The sequence below is a fragment of the Homo sapiens genome, chromosome 1 (assembly GCF_000001405.40).
Source record: "Homo sapiens chromosome 1, GRCh38.p14 Primary Assembly".
Taxonomy (NCBI): Eukaryota; Metazoa; Chordata; class Mammalia; order Primates; family Hominidae; genus Homo; species Homo sapiens.
This window is the reverse complement of record NC_000001.11, coordinates 84,780,743-84,799,664: the sequence shown is the minus strand read 5'-3', so window position 1 is coordinate 84,799,664 and position 18,922 is coordinate 84,780,743. Positions and strand designations below refer to the sequence as shown.

The window sequence follows — 18,922 nt, the reverse complement described above, 5'->3', positions numbered from 1 at the left end:
TTTTGTTTTGTTTTGAGATGGAGTCTCGCTCTGTCACCTAGGCTGGAGTGCAGTGGTGCCATCTCGGCTCACTGCAACCTCTGCCTCCCAGGTTCAAGAGATTCTTCTGCCTCAGCCTCCTGAGAATCTGGATTACAGGCACCTGCCACCTCGCCCAGCTAGTGTTTTTTGTATTTTTAGTAGAGACGGGGTTTCACCATGTTGGCTAGGCTGGTCTTGAACTCTTGACCTCAGGTGCTCTACCTGCCTCAGCCTCCCAGAGTACTGGGATTACAGGCGTGAGCCACTATGGCTGGCCAAATTCAAGTATTCTAATCACTAACACTTATCGTGTGCTTATAAGTTGAGCACTGTGGGAAGCATTCTGCAAGCATCATTTCTTTAAATTATCACAACCCAATGAAGTAACTTGGAGTGATGTTACCTCCGTTGTATAGACAGGAGTACACCAGTACACCAGATCAGAAAGGTTAAGTGATTTTCCCAAACCACACAGCATATATAGGTATATATAAATTTCTTTTTCTTTCTTTCTTTCTTTCTTTCTCTTTCTTTTTCTTTCTTTCTTTCTTTCTTTCTTTCTTTCTTTCTTTCTTTCTTTCTTTCTTTCTTTCTCTCTCTTTCTTTTTCTTTCTTTCTTTTCTTTTCTTTCTCTCTCTCTTTCTTTCTTTCTTTCTTCTCTCTCTCTCCCTCCTTCTCTCTCTTTCTTTCTTTCTTTCTCTATCCCCCCTCCCTCCCCCTCCCTCTCTTCTCTTCTCTTTCTTCTTTCTTTTCTTTTCTTTCCAGGGTCTCAGTGTATCACCCAGGCAGGAGTGCAGTGGCATGATCATAACTCACTGCAGCCTCAAACTCTTGGACTCAAGCCATCTTCCTGCCTTAGCCTCCTGAGGAGGTAGGACTACAGATGCAGGCCACCATGCCTGACTAATCTTTTTCTTTTTTTTTAGAAATGGGGGTCTTACTATTTCCTTCCTTCCTTCCTTCCTTCCTTCCTTCCTTCCTTTCTTCCTCTCTCTCTCTTTCTTTCTCTCTCTCTCTTTCTGTCTCACTGTGTCACCCAGGCTGGAGCGCAGTGGCATGATCATAGCTCACTGCAGCCCTGAACTCTTGGGCTCAAGCCATCCTCCTGCCTTAGCCTCCTGAGGATGTAGGACTATAGGCATGGGCCACCATGCCTAATCTTTTTTTTTTTTTTTTTTAGAAATGGGGGTCTTACTATGTTATTCAGGCTGGTCTCAAACTTCTAGCCTTAAGCAAACATCTTGTTTTGGCCTCCCAAAGTGCTGGGATTGAGTTTCTTTATCACTTCACAATTCTACCTCCTTTAAGCAAAGACCTATTGTCAGGATTGGTTCTTTGGTATTCCTTTTTCAACAGTTGCCGAAAGCCCTAAAAGAATTCTTACCCAGCTGTTTGAAACAGTGGAAAGACCTCAGAAGTGTGACCAACTAGTCAGGCAAAGCCATAAGAGAGGTGCCAGAATTCAACTGGATGTCATTTTAATAGCCCTAAGAATTAATTATCCTAACAGATTGAAAGAATGCAGGATTCTATCTATCAAGTTCAAATGTCTTTGGAGAGAATCAGAAAAAAAATACATATATATATACACACATATATATGTATATGTATATACACAAATATACATCTATCTATCTATCTATCTATCTATCTATCTATCTATCTATCTATATGCAAAACATAATTGGGTGAAGTATGCAGTCCAGGGGAGTGGGGTGGGGGTGCTGCAGGCTTCTGTGAGGAGATAAAGAAACTCAGTAAAGTAGAATGTGAACTTGGGGACATGGACTGTGAGACACATCATCTGAAGGGCATTGATAGTGCCGCTATAAATAGAACGAAGCATGTTCCAGCAGCATTGCTGATGGCAAGGCAGTTAGCTTCCCAGACACCACCTCTGGGCGTTACCATGACTCATGGGAGTGACAGGTAGCTCTTTTGTGGGTGCAGTGGGTTGAATGGTGGCCCCTAAAAAGATATGTTTACCTCCAAATCCCTAGAACTTGTGCATGTTACTTTATTTGGAAAATTGATCTTTGCAGATGTAATGAAGTTAAGAATCTTAATATAAGATTATCCTGGAATACCTGACTGGGACCTAAATCCAATGACAACCGTCCTTATAAGAAAAGTGGAGACACGTGGAGGCAAAGGTGCTGTGAACATGAAGCTAGAGATAGCAGTGATGTGGCCACAAGCCAAGGAAGCCCGGGAATGCCAACAGCCACCAAAAGCTGGAAGAGGTAGGGAGGGATTCACCTCTAGAGACTCCAGAGGGTCATGGCCCTGCTGACACCTTGATTTCGGAATCCCAGCCTCCAAAATGGTGAGAGAATAAATTTCTGTTGTTTGAAGCCACCTGGTTTATGATGATTTATTACAGCAGCCCAGAGAAACTAATACAGTACAGTGGGTAAGTATCACCCAACCCTAGGCTGATTTCAATTCAAGTATGGATGTGTTTAAGGAAATTAACCTGTTGTATATTAATCCTTTATGTGAGATAGAAGCACGTATTTGGTATCTCACATGCATGTAATGTTTAAGACAATTTGGCCTAATAATTAAAATGAACAGATTTTAGATTCCAATTTATAATGTGTGAATAATTGATTTAGTTTTAAAGTTATAATATTACTAAGTTTATATAGGTCATTGAAATATTTAAAGGAACTTAAAGTTAACCCTATTTATGAGTTTGATGTATAGGTATTCTGTGTTAAGTACTCAGAAAGATTATATTAGTTTAATCAGAAAATTGAAGTAATTTTAAAAGATAAATAGAATATATTGATTTATAAATTCAATTTAAAATGCTTGAGGATGTTAAATTAGCTAAGCTTATAAATAGGATCACATATTATTCAAAGGCCCTTAACACAGTTCTTGAAAATATGACAGACCATATGCAATATACAAGAAACAATAAGATTTTATGCAGAACATAAAAGCTTTAGGAAAAATAGGGCTTATTAATCTGTAACTTTAATAATTTAATATTAACTTTTAAAAAGCAACATTAACCTCTGAATAGTTTTTTCTGCCCTCAAAACCACTCGAGGGCACCAAAAAAAGCTCATACATAATAGAAACAACATAGAAAAAACTTTCTAATTATTCCATTCTTCAGGAACAGGGCCAAGGGAGGTGGTCAGCAGAAATGAAGCACTGTCCGGATGGTGTGAAAGTGATCTATGCTGTGGTCAGAACAGTGGAAGGCCATGAACTTTGCCGGCGAGTGCCTTTGTTCTGAGTCAAAGTGTTCCTCGGTATGTGAAGGACATCAGGTCCAAAGGCTGCTAGTGACTGAACAGATAACGTGAATTCCATCAAAGCTTGACTTCTGCTCATCCCTACCTCTCCTCCCGAAGATAGTACGGTAAGTGTGGCATCCAGGCAAGTGTCTGATTTTCTGTTTCTTCTGTTCAATTGAGGAACCAACTCTGTTCCTACAGAGAAAACCACAGAATGATTATTTTGGAGTGGTAACCATTTCTGGCTTTAGTACTTTAGTTCCCATTTATTGCTGCGTGTATCCTTGGTTTCCTTCTGTGTGGTTGCTGGTCCTAAAATCTCCATTTGCTTCCAAGTTGGTCAATTGGTCAGGCCCTTTCTGTCTTGAATGTGGCCAGACTGTGACTTTAATTTCAACTAATACAATATGCCAAAGGTGATAGGATGTCCATTCTGGATTATATTACCCAAGACAGAAGCTTACAGAGCTTAAATGTTCACCTTGCTGGGAGACCCTGTCCTTGCTGGCTGTGAGGAAGCAGGCTGCCATATTGTGAGCACGGAGAGGAAAGGTGGCAAGGAACTGAGAGCAGCCAACAGCTGACAGCCAGGAAGAATCTGAGGCCACAAGGTGCTGAATGCTGTCAACAACCACATGAGCTTGGAAGCATGTTCTTCCCCAGGCAAGCAGAGGAATGAGAACCCAGCCCTGGCTGGCACTTGATTGCAGCTTGCTGGTGAGACCCTGACACACAGGACCCAGCTAAACATACCTGGACTCCTAATCCACTGAAACTGTGAGGAAATAAATGCATGTTCTTTTAAGCTGCTGATTAAGTTGTTATACAGCAATAGATAATTAATACTTAATTATCTAATTAATACATATTAATATTTTGGCAACATACACTATGTTCCTAAGGTACCTCGGAAAATCCTCAGAACCATGTGTTGCAAATGGCAATGCTGTGGTACAATGGGGTCTCCTAAACACTGATAATGGGTGATGCAATCACTTTGCAAAACAATTTGACAAGAGCTAGTATAGGTGAGACTGTTCGTCTCCTGTGACTCCTAGAAATATGCCCCAGGAAAACTCTTGCCCATGGTACCAGGTAACAAATTGGAGGCAGCATTGTATTAACAACAAATTGAACACAACCCAAGTGTTCACCAACTGGAGAATGGACAAATCAATTGTGATTCTTCATAAAACAGCTATAGCAGTGAAAATGAAGCCCTCTTCATTAGGAAAGGCTTTCCTCTTAAAGCCACTGACCATGTCTTATTCATCTCTGAGTTTTCTCATCTGCAAAATAGGATAATAATAGTGCCTACTGCTTAGGGCTATAAATTAGACACTTTAAGTCGTGAGCTTAACACTGTGCCTGACATTTAGTAAGTAAATGCTCATTAAATGCTACCTCTAAATCTCCAGGGCTTCGCACAGTACCTGGCACATACCTTATAAATATTAATTGAATAAATGATTAAATGCAAGGATTGATGCAGAAGGCCAGTACATCAACACCTCATGTCAAAAGAAGAAGTGTCTGAAGTTATCATCCCTCAAGGTCTGCCAGAAGGAACCAAACATGTAGAAAACAGACCTCCCAAGGTGATTGAGCAAACCCAGGCAGAAGCTGGCCTCATTAAGGGGGTGTCTGCTAGAGGCTGCTTCTTGGTTCTACCCACTCTGGGCACCAGGTTCTTGACTGGAATAGATAATAGATATGCGGATTTCAGCCAAGTGCAGTGGCTCACACCTGTAATCCCAGCACTTTGGGAGGCCGAGGTGGGCAGATCACTTGAGGTCAGGAGTTCACGACCACCCTGGCCAACATGGTGAAACCCTGTCTCTACTCAAAATACAAAAATGAGTCTGGTGTGATGGCGCATGCCTGTAACCCCAACTACTCAGGAGGCTCACTTGAACCTGGAGAGCAGAGGTTGCAGTGAGCCGAGATCGACCCGTTGCACTCCAGCCTGGGCAACACAGCAAGACTCCATCTCAAAAAAGAAAAGAAAAGAAAAACATATGCAGATTTCACCCAGGGTTCTTTAAATTCGGGGCTTTATAAACCCATACCTTGTGTTAAGAACAACAAGCAATGTACATACCTATAGACAATGAAATATATACGATAATCGGCAGATCCTGATATGACTTTTTGATTCCATCGTTTGAAGGATCAGATAATGATAATAACATTCAATGCTGCATTTGCTCTTTCTCTCATTCACTATGGCTTCATGCATTCTACCCACAAAGATTTATTGAGGACAACCCTATGCCAGTCACTGGGTTAAGCCCTGGAATACTGCAGTGAGCTCAACAGGCCTGCTCACTCTCCTCAGGCTTGCTTAAAGACAGATCTGGTCTGAACCTCTTCTACATGTGCTGAGCAGCCCATACCCTCCCTGCTAGCTGTTTGTGCTATGCTGGAATGTCTTGCTGTTGTTGCTGGGTCCTTATATTCTCTGCAAAGTCTTTATCCTTTGCTTGTGTACTTGCTTCAAGAAGATTCTTTAGGTCGTGAGCCTTGACATCAAGTAAATTTTGAGAAAGGCTTTTCTCCCTCCAGTGAGCTCCTTCCCATTGGGCTGGCAAGTGATTTTGTAACTAATCGCCTCTTTCACCTGGGTGTTCATGTTTTCTTTTCTGATGTTTTCTCTGAGGGATGTGAGCTGGGAAGATAGGAGGGAGTTTTATGGTTAAAAGGTCTTTTATGGCTTGGAACACGAGCTTTAACTGGATCCTGCAATGAATAACACCCCACACTTGCAGACATTGTGAAAGGTAGATGGTGGGTATCTGACCGAGTATATTCCATCAGCAGCTCCTGAGTATTAGAGTGTGGTGAGCTGATCACCAACACAGCACAGAGAGAGAGAGAGAGAGAGAAGAAGAAAGCCCAGCTACAAACCATTTGACATATCCCCACATGGCCAGGGAGGATCAGCTCCTGACACTCTAGCCTAGTCTACAGCTACTGCTTATTTTTTTTTTAGCAAAAGCTTTGGATCCACCAAGTGGAATTATAAACAATGAGATTTGCTTTAATGTTTTCTTTTTAAATAAAATAATGCAATGAGCAGCCATGAACCTACCACCCAACATAATAAATAAAATGTTATAAATATCATTGAAGCTCTCTCTGAGTAGGGTTGCCAGATTTAGCCAAAAACAAACAACAGCAGTGAGAAAACATGCCCAACTAACTTTGAATTTCAGATAAACAATGCATAATTGTTTAGTGTAAGTATGTCCCATGCAATATCTGGGACATACTTATACTAAAAAATGTATTCATTGTTTAAATTCAAAGTTACCTGGGCCTCCAGGTAATGGCAGGCAACCATTACCCTAAAGTTGGCTTTATCATTCCATTGCTGTTGTTGATAGCCTTACACATTTATATGTATCAATAAACAAAGTATTGCTTTCCTTGCTTGTTTTCCAAGCTTATTAACATATCATATTTCATGAATTTTCCTCTTAACATTCTATATCTGACATTCCATTTCACTGCTGATTCATTTATTTTCATCACTATAGCTGTTTTATGAAGAATCACATTGATTTGTCCATTCTCCAGTTGGTGAACACTTGGGTTGTGTTCAGTTTGTTGTTAGTACAATGCTGCCTCCAACTTGTTACCTGGTTCTTATTTGCAAGAGTTTTCCGAGGGCACATGCCTAGGAGTCATAGGAGATGCGCAGTCTCAGCTATACTAGCTTACATCACATCAAATTGTTTTGCAAAGTGATTGCATCACCCATTATCACTGTTTAGGAGACCTTGTTGTACCACAGCTTGTCAACACTTAAATCTGTCAGATTTTTAATTTGTACCACAGCTTGTCAACACTTAAATCTGTCAGATTTTTAATTTGTACCAATCTGGTGGGCATAAAACTATCTCTCATTGTGATTTCATTTTTCTTTTTCTTGGTACTTATGAAATTAAGATACATTTTGTATATTGATTTGCCATTTATGTTTTCTTTGCTGTGAAAAATCTTTTCATTCCTATTGGCCATTTTCTATTGGGTTGTTTGTATTTTCTCTCACTGATTTTTAGGACTTCTTTATGGATTCTCAATACTAATCTTTTATTAATTATATGCATGGAAAATATGCCCTCTAGATTTTTGGCTAGTCTTTTCACTTTATGGTGTCTTTAGGTAAAAATTAGAAATTTTTTATTTGAATTTCTTTAATTTATCAATATTTTATTTTATGGCTTGTATTCTCTGAGTGTTGTTTAGAAAGTACTCTCTTAGCCAAAGTCACATAACTATTGTTCTATATTGACTTTTAAACATGTTAAAGTTTTTCCTTTTACATTTAAGTCTTTATTTTACCTGGACTTTATTTTATAAACGGTATAAGGGAGGGATCCAATATCATTTTTTTCCAATATGGATAAACTCTTGTTCCCCCACTATTTATTGAGCAGTTCATTCTCTACCATGCCTTCTACCCCGGCCCCACACCTCAGCCACTATGCAATGCCTGTAGGTAAGTCTTCATATATTCATGGATTCATTTTGGGGCTCACTATTCTTTCCTCTGGTCTATTTGTTTATCTGTCTTCCAATACCACATTATCTTATTTACATAGATTTATCATGACTTACATGATTTACATAGATTTACCACAAATTGCAGGGCAACCCCTACCTCTACCCCATCTCACACACACACACACACACACTTTGTTGTTATTCCTCAAAAGTATCTTGACTATTTGTAGGCTTTTACTCTTCCATGTAAGTTTTGAAATCAGATAATAAGTTTCATGATAAACAATTGAGATATTGACTGGAATTGCATTGTATTTAGGGAGAATTGGCATATTTATGAAATTGGATCTCTCTACCTAGGAACAGTATATCTCTCCATTAGTTTCCGTCTTCTTTAACATTTTTCAATAGCATTTTTTCCATAAAGGTCTTGCTTTTATTTTATTATAGTTTTATTTCTATTGTACTGGTATCTTTTAAAAATTATATTACTACAATTTTTACGGCTGCTTTATGGAAGTGCAATTGATTTTTGTATACCCAGCTACCTTGCAAAACTTAAACTCTTTTTAACTCTAATAATTTAACTATAGATTTTTAAAAATATACTTCATAGGCAATCATATTATCTGCTAATAATTATTATTTTATTCTTTCTTTCCAATTTGCGTACCTTTTTATTTTCCTTTTTAAAATTTTACTGATGAGAATCAGTAGAATAATGTTGAATAGAATGATAATATTGAGCATCTTCAACTTGTTCCTGATTTTAAAGGAAATAGTTGTAAGTTTTATTATTAAGAATATTATCTGCCATAAATTTTTGTTTTTGACCTTTATCCTGTTAAACGAGTTACCTTCTTAATTATAATTTTCAGTGTTTCTACCACAAATTAGGTTGCTTTTTCTCAAATGCTTTTTGCCGTATATTAAAGTTATAAAATTGTCAGCTGGGTGCGGTGGTTCACGCCTGTAATCCCAGCATTTTGGGAGGCTGAGGCTGGCAGATCACCTGAGGTCAGGAATTTGAGACCAGCCTGGCCAACATGGTGAAACCCTGTCTCTACTAAAAATACAAAAATTAGCTTGTTGTGATGGTGCGCCTCTGTAATCCCAGCTACTCAGGAGGCTGAGGCAGGAGAATCGCTTGAGCCCAGGACGCAGAGGTTGCAGTGAGCAGAGATCATCCGACTGCACTCCAGCCTGGGTAACAGAGTGAGAGTCTATCTCAAAAAAAAAGGAAAAGGAAAAGAAATGATAAAATTGTCTTCTTTCTCTAATCTGTTAATATAAGGAATTGCGTTAATTAATTTTATAATGTTAACCCAGCTTTGCATTCCTGGGATAAACCCAACTTAGTGTGATGGACTTTTTTTCATACCCTGCTGGATTTGGTCGATAATAGTTTGCTTAGAATTTTGGCGAATTTGCATGTGAATAAGATTGGCCAATAATTTTCCTTTCTAGTACTATTTAATTTGATTTTAGGATCAATGTTATACTGATCTCAGGATGAAAAGGAAGAATTTAAGAATGGTGAAAAAGGATGTTAAATTAAGTTTCAATTGAAGCACCAAGATTCAAAAAATATAAACTTTCAAAGTGAAATGTTAGACCAAGATTGCCTTTCCAAAGGAAATATCCAGGAATCATTCCTTCACACTAACAACTCCTTGCCCTCTCAAGCAAATAAATGACTAGAAAGGGGAGTTTAATGGAGATTTGAAGAGGATTTCTTTGGAAAACATTGCTAGTATGAACTGAGCCAACTGAGAAGGGATTCAAGTTTTCCCTGTGGAAAGCTCCATATGCGTCCTCTCCACCTAGGCAGGTCAGCAGACTTGTGTCCAGCTCCCATCTAGAACACAGAAGGCAAGAAAAGGATAGGCTAAGTGGTTTGGTGGTGGATTGAATGAAAGATGCTGCTGGGCTTGAATCAGCTCGTAATCCCCCAGTTTGCCTGGACAAAGCAGTACGATGGTTTCCTTGGCTAGGTATACACAAAAGAGCTGGGAATTGGGTCATCATAGATGAACTCAGAGTCAGGTCAATTGGAGAGGTGAACAGGTTTCATTACAGCATGAGCTAGAGGTGGATACTGCTTTCCTTGGCAGTAAGGGGTAGTAAGTGAGCAACTTCCAGAACACTGTGCATTCATTCAGATCAAAGGAAATCAGCAGTGATAGGGTAAGAAAATAGGTTCTCCAAAGTACACATGAAAGCATTCCATAAGAGAAAGAATCAGCTTCAAATACCTTGCTGATACCAGTTAAGTAAGGACTTTCTGCCTGTCTTCCTTCCCCATCTCCCAGACCTGAAGAGGATCAGAAACAGCAGTAAATGGATGGGGGATGTATGAGTTATTAATTGTCTTTCAGCTCATTCCACCCTTTTATTCCCTGCTTTTTGGTGCTTGGACAGGAACCCTGGAAATCATTTTTCTGCTTTGCCAGCTATTCCCTGTTGGGCTCTGCCAATTGGGGTGCTAGAGGGAAACTCAAAGGCTGGAGGAGCAGAAGGAATGTGCTCCTCCCAGTTGCTTGCTTTGGACTTCCTTTCTGCTCACAGTTCTTGTGAGTATCACTCCAGCACTGCACCTTCACTGCATTGGTGGTAGTTCCTTCCATAGCAGCAGCTGATCCAGTTCGCTATTTCTACCAAACTTGCAGGACCAGACTTGTCACATTCACCCCTTTAACCTGAGACATGACTATGTGCTGACCAGTGCCCCCTGTTCAGAGTCCGGGCCCCAGCCTCCCCCGGCTGCTCTTCTGAGCTGAGACACCACCATCAGTCAATCATCTCCCCCTCCTCAGGGTCAGGGTTTCAGCTCACCAGGATCCTTTGTCTCAGCTTTTAGATTTCAAGAATTCCAATCTCTTCCTTTTATTTCTTCAGCCCTGGGAATGATAGCCATTTCCTCAAATGATTGCTTATGACGCCTTAGCATTCTCTTCTCTCTTCTGTTACCTGGTTAGTAGCTTTATATCTAGTTAATAATTCTTTATATTAAATTATTTCTCAAATAACTGGTGTGTTTTCTGTCCCCTGACTAGTATAGGGGAGGGTGATTGACAAGGTGAGACAGAAAAAAGGAAGAGATTGGATTTTATGTCTTTCCCCCAAACAGGTGGCCTCCCTGCCATAGCCCTTAGCTGGGGGAAAAGAAGGTAGAGTGAAGAGAAGTCTTAACTTTTAAATTGAAAGCCTGGGTTTTCAGGAGTTGAACAATGAGAACACATGGACACAGGAAGGGGAACATCACACACTGGGGCCTGTTGGGGATGGGGGATTAGGGGAGGGATAGCATTAGGAGAAATACCTAATGTAGACAACAGGTTGATGGGTGCAGCAAACCACCATGGCACATGTATACCTATGTAACAAACCTATACATTCTGCACATGTATCCCAGAACTGAAAGCATAATTAAAAAAAAAAAAAGCCTGGCTTTTTATGTCAAGTTACTAATTTGAGTCTGGGTTTGTGTCTGAAAGTGAATAAAGGTATTTCTATTACTCAAGAACAACTATAAAAGTGAATATTTTATAGTTATTTTATATAGGGCTTGCCTGAGTTTTCATCCAATGGCAGGGGAAGGATTGCCTTCACTGAGAAGATTTAAAGGGGCCATAGGAGACAAAACTAATAACTTTCTGGATTATATCCCATGAATCCTGCTTCTTTAACATACTGGTAAATCTTCAGCTGTAATTGAAACGCCTTGTAAAACTCACAAATAAAACTCTCTAAGCCTAGGATTTATTTTGTGGGAAGATTTTTACTGCTGGTTATACAGGCTTTCTATTTCTTTTTTGGTCAGTTTTGGCAAATTATATTTTTCTAGGAATTTGTCCATTTAATGAACATTTCCAGACTTATTGGATAAGGTTTTTCATTTTATATTTTTATTATCTTTTTGACCGTTTGTATTCTACTTTCTCTGCTAATATTATTTGTGCCTTATCTCTTTATATATTTTTTTAGTTTCCTTATACAGTCTTTCCAGAAGTTAGTCTCTTCAAAGTGTTAATTTTTGGCTTCGTTGATTGTACTTATTGTATCTATTATCTAATTTAAGGTTGTCATTTCCTTCTTTTTATTTTCTTTGGGAATTTTGTTTTCTTTCTACCTTCTTATGTTTGATGCTTAGCTTATTAATTTTATGTTTAAAGTGGCATTTTTTCCCAAATAAACATTCAAACCTATAAATTCGTATTCATACATACTTAAGAGAACCCATTGCCGTCCTCTCCCACAGCTGATTTCTCACCTGCATCCCTTGGTCTGAATAAATGCACTGCAAACTGCACATTTTTAGTGTAGTTGTCATACAGTTCTTAGCTTTTTATATTTTCCTGCACAATTTCTTTTTGACCCATGAGTTAAGTAATATGTTTTCTTTTCATTTTAAAACTCTTTATTTGAAGCATAATATAGAAAATGTAAATATACACATTTAATACAGAAAGTGTACGTGTTATAAGTGAATGGTTTGAAAAACTTTCATAAACTATACACACCTGTGTATCCACACATTAGAATTTAAACACAGAGGTCAGGCATGGTGGCTCATGCCTGTAATCCCAGCACTTTGGGAGGTCGAGGCAGGTGGATCATGAAGTCAGGAGTTTGAGACCAGCCTGGCCAACATGGTGAACCCCGTCCCTACTAAAAATACAAAAATTAGCCAGATGTGGTGGTGTACACCTGTAATCCCAGCTACTCGGGAGGCTGAGGCAGGAGAATCACTTGAACCCAGGAGGCGGAGGTTTCAGTGAGCCGAGATCGTGCCACTGCACTCCAGCCTGGGTGACAGAGCGAGACTCCATCTAAAAAAAAAAAAAAAGAATTAAAACACAGAGATATGAGCACTTTTTTTTTGTTGTTGAGGTGAAATTTACATAGCATAAAGCTAACCGTATGAAAGTATACAATTCACACTTTAGTGGCATTTAGTACATTCACAATGTTATGTAACTACCACCTCTATCCAGTAACAACACACTTTCATCACCCCAAAAGAAAACACTCTATTCATTAAGCAGTAATTCCCCTCTCCTCCCAGCCCCTGGCAACCACCAATCTGCTTTCTGTCTCTATGGATTTTTATGTGATGTGTTTTAAATTTCTAATTGTATGAAGATTTTTAATTATAATTTTCACTTTTTTCTAACTTAATTGTGTTGTGGTCTTTTGATACTTATTCTTTGAATTTGTTGAGATTTGATATTTGCTTTCTGCCCTAATTCACAATTAGTTTTTACAAAGGTAATATGTGATTTTAAAAAGAATGTATATTCCCCAGTGGTTGAATGCAGTGCTCTATATAAGTCTTTTATATCAAACTTGTTAATCGTCTTGTTCAAATCTTTATAACTTTACTGAATTTTTTGGCTGTTTGATCTATCAGTTACTAAGAAAGACATGTTAAAGCTCCCACTCTGATCACAAATTTGTCAATTACTCCTTGAAGTACTGTCAGTTTTTGCTTAGTGATAGACTTTTCAGATAACATGGAGAGGCGCTAATCAAAACAGAAACTTCAGATGTGCTAAACGTGCAAAAAGACCATCAGCTGTGTCAGTTTCTTTCTGCCGTATTAGCCTAGTTTGGTCAAAGTCTTCCCAGAATAAGGAAGCCCTGGCTCTTGCACTCTCTCCCCTTCTCTTTTCCTTCTTCCCGTTCCAGAAACGCACATGAGTGAAATCAAAGGAATGGTCTCAGAAGATGCTGAATAAAAATACTCTAGATCCTTGGAATTTCCTTATTTTATTTCAGCAGTGGAACTGAAAATATCTTTAAGTTATTGTTTCACTAATTACCATAGAACTTCATAATTTCCCATTTTCCACAAGGGTCACTGTGCACCAAGGATGGTGCTGGACTGAGCATAGGCTGAGTACTGTTGGCATCTCATGTCTGCTATACTGCCTCTTCATCAGGCAGTGAATGATGAATTGAGACTCAGTCCACTTGCGGGGAAAGGCCCCTATCATCCCACAGCTGAATTCACTCTGTTTACTGCTACTTTAGCTAGAACAAGAAAGAGAAGCATATGTGGTGAGTTATTGAACTTAGTTCAGCATCTTTATTCCTCATTATCTTCTACATCTAATTCAATTGCTAATTGAAATAATTACTGTCTTTACCTGGTAGAAAATTATATTGTGCTTGTAAGACAAGCTGACTGATGTGCTTTGAAAAAGCAGCAAAACATCTTTCACCGTGCTTGGATTCATTTCCCTTAGCAGATGATTTCAGTAACTTCACATCATTTTTCATCTGGCAAGTCAACAGAAGCCAAGTTTTGAGATAAATAAAGCTTGTTTCTTTGAGTGGAACAATGCCATGGAAGGTGAAACAACTTCATTTTCCATGCAGACACGCAGGCCCGTCTTGTACTTGCAGAGAGAGGTGCCTGGATTTGCTCAAATCAACTTGTGGTGCTCATATTAATTGGTTGTTTGAAATGGGCTGTCCAGCTGGCAGCTTTCAGGGCCACTGGAATGGCCCTGGGGTTGCTGATTCATTTCTCTCCCCAAGACTGAATGGCCTATTATTTGACCAGGAGGAAGAAGCCAAAGTAGTCTGCCCCAACTTGTTGCAAGTGATACCCAAGAAGGGGGCCAGCTCTCCAGGGCCTCTCCTGACCTTTGGAGGAGTCATACGCACCTTAGCACAAGAAATGCCTGGGGAACCGGTGCTGCATCTGGGACCCTGGAGCCTGCAGGTCAGAGAAGTTCATGAGGTTTCCTCAGCCAGTGTATAGTGGCAAGCAGAGATACAGTGATTAGCTGGGGTGTGCGAACCAGTCAGACAGTATAGTCTACAGACCTTTGGGCTCATTACCCACCTCAAGAACCTATGTCTGCCCATTTTCCTGATGTGGCAGCAAAGACAAGGACTGTGGGGCAGATTATCACTTGCCGAGTATTGTGGTGATTAACACTTTAATACTTATAGAGCCCTTCTAACATTGAGTCAATCTAGATCTATTTATTGAATATCTATGACATACTAGAAATAGTGCTAGATTCTTTGAAGGATATAAAAATACAAATCTAACAAGATCCCTGCCTTCAAAGTCCTAACAGTATAATTAGGGGCCAAGATATAAACACAAAACATGAAGGAACAATACCAAAGTAATTAACGTTAAAAACTGCCAAATTCATTTCTCACAATAGATAAATTTCTCTCTATCCTCAGAGGTATAAATGACCTGAACGTTTGGCAGAACTATCCTGTTAATCATAATGAACATAGACAATATTATTGAGAGCTTACTATAGGTAGGGCATTTTTAAGCACTTTACTCATTATTTTATTCAATCTTCAGAAAAATCGTTAAAACGTAGCAGAAATCTCAGAGAGTGAGGCATGATCCAGGTTTAAAACTAGACATTACAATAGACAGCCCTCTTTTGAATGTCAGCCTTGGCCTACCTTGTGCCCAAGCCTGAAGTTGATTCTTTCCTATGCTGTGACACGTTGCTTATTGCATTTCAGAAGTTGATCCAGGATGTCATATTATGATACTGGTCCGTAAGTGTACAAATAGGACTGGGTACTTGGATGTGCAGAGGTGTGTTCATGATGGTAAGAGTGCATTGTAGCAGTTAAGGACAGGAGGTGGGAATAAACTCTTGTTTGTAGGAAAGGTTTGTGGAGAAAGCTTTTCAATAGAATTCAAAAGGTCTGTTTACAGATTAGGAACTAAGGTAGAGACTGAACATTTCACCCTATAAACTGTCGACCGAGTATCTCAAGATTAGCTATCTAGTTAGCCCATTTGTTGGCTGAAGGAGCACCACGATTATAATATGGCTGGAGAGTAGCTGCTTGCAATACCAGTCACATGAGACTGTGATCTTAGAGGGCAACTCTTCAAAGTTCTCAGGAGGCTTCCTTAGGGTAGTGGAATAATGAGCAAAGAAGATGTAAATCTGACTATGTCACTCTTTTGCTTCAAACTCTTGTAGGGTAAGGTCTTATAAGATAAGGGCCTGGCACTCAAGGCCCTCCTCAGGTTCGGGCTTCAGACCCTCTTCAGCGCCATCAACCCCCACAGGCCAGCGTTCACGCACCAGTAGCACTGACTGCTGGCTACCTGCTCCATCTATCAGCTCAGTGCGTGTGCTGACCACCTACTGTGTGCCAAGTACCGTGCTCACCTTGGAGGCACATTGCCACGCTGTCCTATGCCCACCACTCTCCAGTCCCGGGGAACCTGCCACATGTCTGCCAAGGCCAACCTCAGGCTCCCTTCCTTTCCAGGAAGCCTAGGTTGAGTTCCAGCCCCCTCTGTACTCCCATTTGTTGGAATAATGCCTCTGGGTTTGACTTACTCCCTAATCTGTTCCTTAAGAATGGAAACACGTCTTATTCATTTTGGATCCCCTCACCTGGCATAGGGCTTGGCACATGGTGTTCAATAGACGTTTGTTGAACTGAACTGAAGAGGAAAGTTCGGTTGGGGTCATAGGAGAGGGTCATGTATGCAAGGTCCCCTGGGAGAGGTGGGGGCGGGGTAAGATGGGGCAGGATAAGTGTTAAGTGGCTTATTTGTTCCCTGGTCTCCCCAGGGAGAGACATAGATTACTTGGCTTCCCTTTTCTGGTCAGAAGAAACTTGGCTTCCTGTAGGCTCATGTCCATGCCCACCAGAGGCACGTCCTACTAGAGAGGGTGTATGTGGACTCAGGCCCAGCCCCTCCCTCTCACATCGAGAGGAGAGTAAAAGTGAGACCTGCATCTACCAAAGATAAGGATGTGGACATAGGACAGAGGGAGGTTTGAGTCACAACTCAAGATTCTATGGCTGGTCGTGTGACGAATTGTTTAGTGATCATTGTCAGGAAGCCCCGTGTGGAAACTGGAGGGGTAAACACCCCCCAAAACCGGGTGGCCCACTGTCTGCCACTAGCTAGCACTAACAATCACAATGAGAATGACAGAACACTGCCTCCTGTTCTAAGTGCTTTATGTATACATTTAACAGGAATTGCAAGGGAAGAATTGGTCCACGTCTGTGAGAGGAGGCCTCTGAAACACGCTGACTTCACAGAGGAGAAGGAATGAGCTCAATTTCAGGCACCTCCTCCGGGGCGGTCAAGAGCAGAATGAAGGAGAACATGTATGGCCCTAGGTTGGCCTTGAAGAATTAGAGAAGCTGCTGGTGCCCCGCCCCCAACCTGGCCCAACAGCAGAGCCTCCGCTAGGGGGAGCCGTGGAGACCTGATTTCCTCTGCGCCGCCTTTCCTAATGAATACCCCAGGGGAGCTCCTGGCAGCACCCTGTGGAATGGCCCCGCGGAGCTCTGGCCCCTGGAATTTGCCCTTCACAATTATGCTCCCTGCTGGGAGAAGTATAAATATGGATGGAGCGTGGCGTCTTTAAACATGGCACAAGAGTAGAGGAACAACCAAGTCCAAATGATAATATTTTGAAACGCCACGGGGAGCCTCTGCTGCTGTTGAGTTAGAATTGCTTCTCTTTCATGTGATTAAAGAAGCCCTTGTGGGTTTTTGCTTTTCCTTAGAGACATACCATGGTTTCTCCCCCCGCACTACAGCACTGAACGATTTTTAAGGTTTCTAAGTGCACTCCATTTACATTTCCTACTCATTCTCTAAATGAAAGGCAGGCTAAAACACATTAATGAGCTTCCTGATTACTGCAGCCCTTGAGAAATTAATTAATGACAATGCAGCCACACTTAACATTCCTCCTCCTTTCTGAGTTTGGAAAGCGGGAGGAGCTGCGCTTTAATCCACGCCCAACCAAGAGCCACCATGTGTCTTTAGCCGAAGAGTTGGTTTGCCAGGACACATTTCAGATTGCCTTTCCTAGAGAAAAGCCATTCCCTGAATAATTAAGAGACAGCATCTTTTCCATTGTCTGGAATTTTTTTTTACCCTAAATTAGGTGGTTTAAGCTGGTAGATGTTGGGTATGACTTGTTTCTTTTCTTTTCTTTTCTCTTTTTTAAGTAAATAAGTGTCAAGCACCAGCATTTACCTGGCCCTTCCCTTATAATAATAGCCAACACTTTAAAGTTGCTTGTCAGGGACTGTTCCAACTGCTCTGTCTTTCTTTGCCTCTCTCTGTGTGTACATATTTACTTATTAAATCTCACAATAACCCTGGGGTAGGTGGTATTATTATCCCCTATTTACAAAGAGTGAAGAAGAAGAACAAGACATATCCACGGATCTACCAGCTAAAACTACCTAATTTAGGACTTTAAAAAATTCCTAAGCCATTAAAAAAGATGCCATCACTGAAGAACATACAGTGAGAAAGTGGAAGAGCCATGATCTGAACTCAAAGGGATTGGCTCAGAATCCATGCCTTAGCCAGTAACTACATCTACAGCCAGCCATATGTACATTTGTATCTTGAGTTGTTTTTATTTTTTAATCTGTGTTTATTTTATTATTTATTTTCTATTGTATATATTTAAGGTATACAACATGATGTTTTGATATACATAGTGAAACGATTATTGCAGGTAAGCAAATTAACGTATTCATCACCTTCCCTACCTTCTCTAGTTACCCTGTTTTCAGTAAGAGCACCTAAAATCTAGTCTCTTAGCAACTTTTCAATATACAAGACTGTATGATTAACTATAGTCCTCCTGCTGTATGTTGGATTTTTAAATTTATCCTTCCCACATAACTTTGTACCTTCTGACAAACTCCCCATTTCTTTCCCCTCCCCACCCTTGGTAACCACTGTTCTACTCTGTTTCTATGTATTAGACTTTTTGTTAGATTCCACATACAAGTGAGATCATGCAGTAGTTTTCTTTCTGTATCTGTCTTACTTTTTAGCATAAAGTACTCCAGGTTCATTCATGTTGTAGCAAATAGCAGTATCTCCTTTTTAAAGGCTGAATAGTATTCCATTGTAGGGATATTGTAATATATATAGATATCACAATTTATTTATCCATTCATTCATCAATGGGCACTTAGGTTGTTTCCACATCTAGGCTATCATGAATAGTGCTGTGTTTACTGAGATGTTTTCCACTCATCTTCATTCCAGGTGCCTTCAGTGCTGCTTCTGCCTGCAGAGATGTCCTCCAGTCACCATACTTTGCCTCCGGTAGGCTGGCTGAGGACAGAGA

The 18,922-nt window shown here is 40.2% G+C and overlaps 1 long non-coding RNA gene across 3 annotated transcripts, besides 3 other annotated features; it reads left to right on the top strand.

Annotated features, from left to right (window-relative positions):
• The first annotated feature begins 1,986 nt into the window (after positions 1–1,986).
• Positions 1,987–18,659, top strand: LOC102724892 (uncharacterized). Of its 3 annotated transcripts, XR_426717.3 has the most exons (3): positions 1,987–2,434; positions 3,152–3,400; positions 16,788–18,659. It is a non-coding gene; the product is annotated as an uncharacterized LOC102724892 (long non-coding RNA). The 3 variants fall into 3 exon arrangements; XR_007066198.1 differs by lacking the exon at positions 16,788–18,659 and having other exon boundaries at positions 1,987–2,347; positions 3,152–4,080; XR_007066197.1 differs by lacking the exon at positions 16,788–18,659 and having other exon boundaries at positions 3,152–4,080.
• Positions 16,869–16,918: an enhancer, noted in NCBI's record as "active region_1258". NCBI's record gives its function as "activates an Ori minimal core promoter by ATAC-STARR-seq in GM12878 lymphoblastoid cells {active_cell/tissue: GM12878}" and the evidence as "EXISTENCE:reporter gene assay evidence [ECO:0000049][PMID:35858748]".
• Positions 17,109–17,188: an enhancer, noted in NCBI's record as "active region_1257". NCBI's record gives its function as "activates an Ori minimal core promoter by ATAC-STARR-seq in GM12878 lymphoblastoid cells {active_cell/tissue: GM12878}" and the evidence as "EXISTENCE:reporter gene assay evidence [ECO:0000049][PMID:35858748]".
• Positions 17,229–17,318: an enhancer, noted in NCBI's record as "active region_1256". NCBI's record gives its function as "activates an Ori minimal core promoter by ATAC-STARR-seq in GM12878 lymphoblastoid cells {active_cell/tissue: GM12878}" and the evidence as "EXISTENCE:reporter gene assay evidence [ECO:0000049][PMID:35858748]".
• Positions 18,660–18,922: the final 263 nt, after the last annotated feature.